Source organism: Homo sapiens, chromosome 17 (assembly GCF_000001405.40).
Source record: "Homo sapiens chromosome 17, GRCh38.p14 Primary Assembly".
NCBI classification, from domain to species: Eukaryota; Metazoa; Chordata; class Mammalia; order Primates; family Hominidae; genus Homo; species Homo sapiens.
Genome location: NC_000017.11, coordinates 76,643,948 through 76,653,584, shown reverse-complemented (window position 1 = coordinate 76,653,584; position 9,637 = coordinate 76,643,948). Strand labels below are relative to the sequence as shown.

At 43.3% G+C, this 9,637-nt stretch overlaps 1 pseudogene; it reads left to right on the top strand.

Moving 5' to 3' along the window:
* PTMAP13 (prothymosin alpha pseudogene 13) lies at positions 1,500-2,176 on the top strand (annotated as a pseudogene).

The following is a 9,637-nucleotide window of genomic DNA, read 5'->3' as shown; positions in this document are numbered from 1 at the left end:
AACACTAAAATTGTGGACAGTTCGTTTTTTATAAAAATGCTTTTACAGGCATACCTTGTTTTATTGCATTTCACTTTACTGTATTTTGCAGATAGATAGTGCAATTTTACAAACTGAAGGTCTATAGCAACCCTCCATCAAGTAAGTCTATCAGCCTCATGTTTCCAACAGCAAGTGCTCACTTCATGTCTGTGTCACATTTTGGTAATTCTTGCGATATTTCAAACTTTTTCTTTCTTTTTCCTTTTTTTCTTTCTTTCTTCCTTTCTTTTTTTTTTTTTTTTTGACAGAGTCTCGCTCTATCGCCCAGGCTGGAGTGCAGTGACGTGATCTCAGCTCGCTGCAACCTCCACCTCCTGGGTTCAAGGGATTCTTCGGCCTCAGCCTCCCCAGTAAATGGAACTACAGGTGCATGCCACCATGCCCGACTAATTTTTATATTTTTAGTAAAGACGGGGGTTTCACCATGTTGGCCAGGCTGGTCTCGAACTCCTGACCTCAAGTGATCTGCCTTGGTCTCCCAAAGTGTTAGGATTACAGGCATGAGCCACTGCACCTGGCCACCAAACATTTCCTTTTTTTTTTTTTTTTGAGATGGAGTCTCACTCTGTTGCCCAGGCTGGAGTGCAGTGGCGCGATCTTGGCTCACTGCAACCTCCGCCTCCCAGATTCAAGTGACTCTCCTGCCTCAGTCTCCTGGGTAGCTGGGATTACAGGTGCATGCCACCATGCCCAGCTAATTTTTTGTATTTTTAGTAGAGATGGGTTTCACGGTGTTAGCCAGGATTGTCGTGATCACCTGACCTCGTGATCCGCCCACCTCAGCCTCCCAAAGTGCTGGGATTACAGGCATGAGTCACCACAACCAGCCATATTTACTGAATATTTTAAGCCCACTGTTGAGATCTACTGCTAAGAAGAAAAGACTCTTTTGAAAATATTACTGCTCATTGACAATGCACCTGGTCACCCAAGAGTTCTGATGAAGATATACAAGGAGATTAATGTTTTCATGCCTGTCAACGCAACGTTTATTCTGCAGCCCATGGAATAAGGAGTAATATTAACTTTCAAGTCTTATTATTCAAGCAATATATTTTATAAGGATATAGCTGCCATAGATAGTGATTTCTCTGATGGATCTAGGCAAAGTAAGTTGAAAACCTTCTGGAAAGGATTCATCATTTTAGAGTCCCTGAAGAACATTCATGATTCATGGGCAGAGGTCAAAATATCAACATAACAGGAGTTTGGAAGAAGTTGGTTCCAACCTTGGTGGATGACTTTGAGGGACTTAAGACTTCAGTAGAAGAAGTCACCACAGATGTGGTGTAAACAGCAAGAGAAGCAGAATTAGAGGTGGAGCCTGAAGATGTGGCTGAGTTGCTGCAATCTCATGATCAAACTTCTACAGATTAGAAGTTGCTTCTTATGCATGCACCAAGAGGGTTTCTTGAGATGGAATCTACTCCTCTGAACACTGTTGAAATGAAAACAGCCCCCACTGGCTGCTCTGAAAAGCCATCTTTGCATTGTTCCTCGTCTGGCTCCTTGGTTCCTCCTCCGTGGACTCCAGCAGCTTTATCACCAGAGTCCTCGAATTCTCGATTCCTTTTTAATCCCCTGTATCAGATCACCGGCATGCCCCATCATGTCAGATGCAGCCATAGACACCAGCTCCGAGATCACCACCAAGGACTTAAAGGAGAAGAAGGAAGTTGTGGAGGAGGCGGAAATGGAAGAGATGCCTCTGCTAATGGGAACACTAATGAGGAAAATTGGGAGCAGGAGGTTGACAATGAGGTAGATGAAGAAGAGGAAGAAGGTGATGGTGAGGAAGAGGATGGAGATGAAGACGAGGAAGCTGAGTTTGCTATGGGCAAGTGAGTAGCTGAAGATGATAAGGATGATGATGTCCATACCAAGAAGCAGAAGATTGATGAGGACAACTAGACAGCAAAAAAGGAAAAATTAAACTAAAAAAAAAAAAAATGACTGTGACCTAGTCACCCTCTACTTCCTGTCTCAGAATCCAAACGTAGTCACCTTCAGGTAGAGAGACCACCCGCAGATGACACGCACTCTCCACCACCCAACTCAAACCATGAGAATTTGCAACAGGGGAGGAAAAAAGAACCAAAACTTCCAAGGCCCTGCTCTTTTTCTTCAAAGTACTGAAAATGCAACCATAAAAAAGAATGAGTTCATGTCCTTTGCAGGGACATGGAGGAAGCTGGAAGTCATCATTCTCAGCAAATTAACACAGGAATAGAAAATCAAACACCGCATGTTCTCACTCATAAGTGGGAGTTGAACAATGAGAACACATGGACACAAGGAGGGGAACATCACACACCTGGGCCTCTTGGGGCAGGGGCAGAGGGTTGGGGAAGGGGAGGGAGAGCATTAGGACAAATACCTAATGCATGCAGGGCTTAAAACCTAGATGACAGGTTGATAGGTGCAGCAAACCACCATGGCACATGTATACCTATGTAACAAACCTGCATGTTCTGCACATGTATCCCAGAACTTAAAGTAAAATTTTTTTAAAAAGACTAATCTTATTGTAGGAATATTACTATGATTATTAGTATGAATTCACCTCCATAAAAATACTTGAAAAGGAAATTTGTGTTTTTTACTTACATTTTATATTTTTGCACATATTGTTAGGGTCAGCCTTTTTTTGTTTTTTTTCTTTTTTTGTGAGACGAAGTTTCTCTCGTGTCACCCAGGCTGGAGTGCAGTGGCGCTGTCTCAGCTCACTGCAACCTCTGCCTCCCAGGTTCAAGCGATCCTCCTGCCTCAGCCTCCCAAGCAGCTGGGTTTACAGTCGTAAGCCATCATGCCCAGCCTAGGGCCACCCATTTTTAATGATCTCAGATAACCAAACCAACCTTTGGAGCATTCTCTGTCCTACTTCTGACTTTACTTGTAGTGTGACCATGTTCACTGTAATCTCAAAGGAGAAAAAAAAACCTTGTTAAAAAAAAAAAAAAAAGACAACAGGAAAACAATCTTATTCTGAGCATTCCAGTAACTTTTCTGTGTATGTACTTAGTTTGTATGAGATGGTTAAAAAGGCTAAAGAGAAAAGGTTTCTTTTTTTTTCCTTTTTTGTCTATGAAGTTGCTGTGTTTTTGTTTTTTTGTGGTGTTTTTTTTTTCTAATTTTACAAAAATTAGCCAGGCGAGCTGGCGTGCACCTGTAATCCCAGCTACTCGGGAGGCTGAGGCAGGGGAATTGCTCGAACCCAGGAGGCAGAGATGGCAGTGAGCTGAGATCGCACCACTGCACTCTAGCCTGGGTGACAGAATGAGACTCCATCTCAAAAAAATAAAATAAAATAAAATAAAATAAAATAAGACAACAGTAAAGCTTGCTGCATAGATTGAAAGTTTCCTCTGTAATGTGACGTTTGATGCCATTTTGCCCATCCACATTAGAAATTCTTTCAACATTGAAGTAAATCCTCTCAAACCCTGCTGCCACTTTATGAACTAAGTTTATGTAATATTATTTATTCTTTGTTTTCATTTATTTTAGGACTCAGCAAAATAAAATTCCTGTTTATTGTTGGACAACATTGTTTCACACGTGTATGTTTCTTTTGTGTGCAATAGCATTATGTCTAAAATACCAATGTACATATGTTAATTTTAAAACACTTTATAGGCCGGGTGCGGTGGCTCACACCTGTAATCCCAGCACTTTGGGAGGCCGACGCGGGTGGATCACCTGAGGTCAGGAGTTCGAGACAAGCCTGGCCAATATGGCGAAACCCTGTGTCTACTAAAAATACAAAAATTAGCCGGGCGTGGTGATGGACGCCTGTAATCCCAGCTACTTGGGAGGCTTTGGCAGGAGAATCGCTTGAACCCAGGAGGTAGAGGTTGTAGTGAGCCGAGATTGTGCCACTGCACTGCAGCCTGGGCAACAGAAGTTAAACTCAGTCGAAGGAAGGAAGGAAGGAAAGAAGGAAAGAAGGAAGGAAGGAAGGAGAGGGAGGGAGGGAGGGAGGAAGGATGGAAGAGAAGGAAGGAAGGGAAGGAAGGAAAGAGAGAGAGAGGGAAGGAAGGAAGGAAGAAAACATTACGGTGTAAACATATATAAAAAAATTTCTGTTACTCACTTTGCTGCAATTGCAGTGGTCTGGAATCAAACCCACAATATCTCCAAGGTATGCTTTTAAAATATTTAATTACATTTTCAAAATCAAATGTACAATTTCAGTTTTATTTAAGTAACTTTGACTTAAAATTCGCTATATAACTTTTATATACTGAAACATATGCGCGGGGACAAGAGCGACTTTATTTTAAACGCTAATCTGCCTGACCGACCCTGAGTCCGAGAATACCTTCCAAATGTGTAGCTGATGTATTACTCTTTAGGTAGAACACCTATTCATTTTAACTTTCACTTTTCCTCCAAGACAATCCGAGATGCTGTTGCAGACATCATAGGCGTAGTGATACTCATAGCCACCTACACATTCCTTCCAGAGCACATATACTTTTCCCCAAGATAGAAGCCCTAGATTTGAGGTGTTGCATTGCAGAGATCTACATGTCTGCAGCCCCCCAAGACCATGCTTTTCTATCTGTAAATTTACCCAGTAAATCATCCCATGCTGACCAACTGGATTTGTCTGCCTCCTCCTCTGGTTGGTTGGCTCCTTCAGCATTTGGAGGTTGCTTTGTGGATACGGCTCTTTCATGGAGCAACAGGCCACGTGGCCTTCTTTTGTGCTCATATCAGTTCACCACAAGAGTTATGCGTGGCCTGTCTGAGATGGCTATGTGAGGAACTCAGCAGACCTCTCCCTACAAAACAGCCATTTAATTGGTGAAAATTATTTGTTTGTTTGTTTGTTTGTTTGAGACAGGGTCTGGCTCTGTCACCCAGGCTGGAGTGCAGTGGTGCCATCTCAGCTCACTGCAGATTTGATCTCCCAGGCTCAAGCGATCCTTCCACCTCAGCCCCTCAAGTAGCTGGGACTACAGGTATGCACCACCACGCCCAGCTAATTTTTGTACTTCTTGTAGAGGCAGGGTTTCAGCATGTTGCCCAGGCTGGTCTCAAACTTCTGGGCTCAAGTGATCCTCCCACCTCAGCCTCCCAAAGTGCTGGGATTACAGGTGTAAGCCGCTGCACCTGACCTAATTGGTGAAAATTATTTAAATAATTGAAATAAAATTATGTTGTCCTAAGGACATACAGCAAATGAAGAAATATTTATTCAAGAAAATCTCCTGAATACCAGTAAGAATAAACAGTCTGTGGCACCTGAGTCACATCCCACTCCTATCTTCTTCCCAAGCAGGTGTCGCTTCCCAAGAAGATGGGGGGCTCCCTCTGCCTCCACTCCAGGCTGCAGTTTCACTCTAAGAAGGGTGTGTCACTGGTGTCTCTCATCTCTTCCAGCTCTGCGTTGCAAAAACTGTATTCCATGCAGGTGTGGCCAAGAGGGCTGGGGCTCCCTTCCCCAACCCAGACCCCACTTGTAGGGTGGAAACTGTGTACCAGACACAGTGGTTAAGAAACTCAGCAGAAGACTGGGCGCGGTGGCTCACACCTGTAATCCCAGCACTTTGGGAGGCCGAGGTGGGTGGATCACGAGGTCAGGAGATTGAGATCATCCTGGCCAACATGGTGAAACCCTGTCTCTACTGAAAATACAAAAATTAGCTGGGCATGGTGGCACGCGCCTGTAGTTCCAGCCACTCGGGAGGCTGAGGCAGGAGAATCGCTTGAACCTGGGAGGCAGAGGTTACAGTGAGCCGAGATCGCGCCAGTGCACTGCAGCCTGGTGAAAGAGCACGACTCTGTCTCAAAAAAAAAAAAAAAAAAAAAAAGGAGAAAAGAAAGAAACTCAGCAGAAACATCAGAAATTATACACTCTGCACACAAACCAGGAAATAGGCTTCATAGAATTAGTTCAGAATTAAATAAACAAATGCCCAAGGAAACAACAGTTCCACCAACAAGCCCCAGTGTAGTGGGGAATTCAGCATCTAGAGGTGCTACAATATATTATCTAAAATGTCTGGTTTTCAACAAAAAATTATGACACGCAAAAAAACTGTGACAAATACACAGGAAAAGAAGTCAGGCAATAAAAAGTGCTTTTGAAGGGACCTAAATATTGGACACATTGGAAAAAGACTCCAAAGCAGCTATTATGAATATGTTTTAAAAATCGAAGTAGACCAGGCATAGTGGTTCACGCCTATAATCTCAATGCTTCAGGAGTTCTAGGCAGGAGGATTGCTTAAGGCCAGGAGTTCAAGACCAGCCTGGGCAACACAGTGAAAACCTGTTTCTACAAAATATATATATATTTAAATAAATTAGCCTGTAGTCTTAACTACTAGGGAGGTTGGGGAGAAAGGATCACGTGAGGCCAGGAGTTCAAGGTTACAGTGACCTATCATCACGCCACTGCACTTCAGCCTGAGTGACAGAGCAAGACCTTGTCTCCAAAAAAAAAAGTTTTTAATGTAAACCATGTTTAAAGAATTGAAGATTAAAGAAAGGCATGATAATAATGACTCATGAAATAGAGAATGTTCACTAAAAAGATAGAACAAAATTATTAAGTAAATGAAAATTCTGAAGTTGAAAAATAAATAATCAAAATGAAAAATTCACTAGAGGGGCTCAATAGTAGATTTGAGTTGGCAGAAGGAAGAATCAGCCAACATGAAGACAGATTAATACAGATGAAGAACACTACGAAAAATAATAAGTAAAAATGAACAGAGCCTCAGAGAAATGTAGAATACTGTTAAGCACACCAACATACTCATCCTAGGAAAGAATGCTCAAGAGGCAGAGATAGAGAGAAAAAAATATTCAAACAAATAATACCTGAAAACTTCTGAAATTTGTTGAAAAACACTAATACATAGATCCCAGAAACTCCAAGTGAATAAATGCAGGAAGACCCACACAGACACATCATAGTCAAAATACTGAAAGCCAAAGATAGAGAAAAATCTTGAAAGAAGCAAATGAAAAACAATCTAAATTACTTTGTGCTCATGCACTTCTCTTTTGAACTGGTTATTATATCTGCCTGGTCCTCTCATGAGTAGAATCAAATCTTTAGCACATTTTTATGTCTTCTATCTATTTGAGTAATGATTTTACCTTTTACTGAAAATTATCTTTTAACAACTCTTATCTGCATGTAAGTTCTCACATGTCCCATCAGCTGATGTATACTAAAGTTCAAAGACTCAAGCTCAAAGCTTTAGTTTAAAAAGGAGAAAAAGTTTTTGCCATTGAGCTTAAGAGAATAAAATAAAATAAAACAATAAAAAGGAGAGAAAGGTAGATCTTACCAAACACAAAATTGTGACGATGTTTAAAAAATAATTGGCAGCTGGGCGTGGCGGCTCACATGAAGTGCTCCCAGCACTTTGGGAGGCTGAAGTGGGGTCGCTTGAGACCAGGAGATCAAGACCAGACTGCACGACATAGCAAGACCCCCCCATCTCTACAAAAAAAATTTGCCAGGTGTGGTGGCACCCACCTGTAATCCCAGCTACTTTGGAGGGAGGCTGCCGCAGGAGGATCTTGTGAGCTCAGGAATTCAAGGCTTCAGTGAACTATGATTGCACCACTGCACTCCAGCCTGGATGACAGAAAGAGGCCTTGTCTCAAAAAGCAAAAACAAAATAATTGGAAAGTCAATTTCTCCTAAAACACACACTTCTCTGGATCCCACATTCTGCCCAGGCACATGCTACAGCAGCAGTGGGCTGGAACCTGAGAACCAGGAAACTAGGACTCTGGATTATCCTGCCACACCAGTTGGCCACAAGGTCTTCAAGTTCAACCTGCCTCTAATGTGGCGAGAGGGACAGATTGTCCACAGTAGCTCAGCTTGCACCCAGGAGCTCAGCTGGATCTCCATGCCCTGCGGAAGGCAGCGAGCACTGACAGCCAGTGCCTTCTTCAGAACACAGGGCACGATGAAAGAGATACTCTATTTAGTCACACTAGTACTGTGGGTAAGAACATGCCTTTTCACTGTGCACTTATTTGCATAGCGTTGCAAGCAGGCACCAGGATACAGGAATATAATTGTACATGTCAAGTGCATAAAGGAACTCAGGATAAGGGGCCAGTTAGGACAAAGAGTTATGACTTGATACAGATCAATTCAGAAAATGTTTATAGAGTTAACATATGAGCATCTGTAGGTTAGGCACGGTGAGAGAGAAAGAGAGAGGTTGAGTCAGTACTAACAGAGATGTTTCTCCTTGCCACCATGACTTGAAACAGTGCTGTGAGTTGCAGTGTACAGTAGGGGATAAAGGAAACCATCAGTCGTCTGTATTACCCTCAGCTGCTCAGACGTATGTTCCTGCCTTTTTCGTCCTCCTTGAGGAAGGTGGTTTAATCATTTATCGGTGCGTGCCATGGGTGAAGGCCAAGAGCCTTGTGTACAGAACTGAAAACTGTACGTTAGGAGAAATGCCCACCGCCAGGTGTGAACAGTGAGCCCAGGCTCCAAAACCTCTCCCACAGTTCAACACCCTGGACAATATTTTTATAAAATTACTAACTCACAGTACTTTATGGAGGGCTGCTTCTCTGAATTTTTAAAGTTTTCTACAAATGGTCTTGATGTTTTTCCTCTGAGGTGTACTTTTTTTTCCCAAGAATTATGTGGGTTTTGTTTTGCATTGCTTTGATCAAGGTAGAGTTAATGATTTCTCGTAGGTGCTACTAAGCAGTGGATACGAATGCAATCGGCCAGGCACGGTGGCTCACACCTGTAATCCTAGCACTTTGGGAGGCCGAGGCAGGTGGATCATGAGGTCAGAAGATCGAGACCATCCTGGCCAGCATGGTGAAACCCCGTCTCCACTAAAAATACAAAAATTAGCCGGGTGTGGTGTTGGGTGCCTGTAGTCCCAGCTACTCAGGAGGCTGAGGCAGGAGAATCACTTGAGCCCGGGAGGCGGAGGTTGCAGTGAGCCAAGATTGCGCCACTGCACTCCAGGCTGGCAACGAGTGAGAATGTCTCAAAAAAAAAAAAGAAAGAAAAATGCAATCATGGCTGGGCATGGTGGCCGATGCCTGTAATCCCAGCACTTTGGGAGGCTGAGGTGGGAGGATCACTTAAGTCCAGGAGTTTGAGACCAGCCTGGGCAACATACTGAGACCCATCTCTATTTCTTAAAAAAAGAATGCAATCTCTAGGTCAGTTGGATCTGGACCCCAAGCCAGTGGCTCACCATGTGCTCTTGGGCTGGCAGCTTGTTCTTGGAGGCCATTTCCTCCTCTGTCAAATGGAGGTGATGACAGTACCCAGCCCCTAGAGTGGCTGTGAGGGTTCCATGAGTGCCTGTGAAGACTCCCCACTGCCCAGCTCAGAGTGAGCCCTCATACGTGCTGGTCATTGTTGTAATGGTCATGATTTCAGAAGAGAAACAGAGAAGGTTGAGCTAAAGTGTTGAACATGTGTGTTGGGTGCCTACCACAAACAAAGCCCTGTGCATGGTGGCCTCAAGGTGTCTTCATGATAATCCCAAAAGGAAGATAACTGCTTTTTTCCATTTATATGGCGGCAGATGGGTTAAGTAACCTGACCAAGATGAGACTGCATATAATGTGG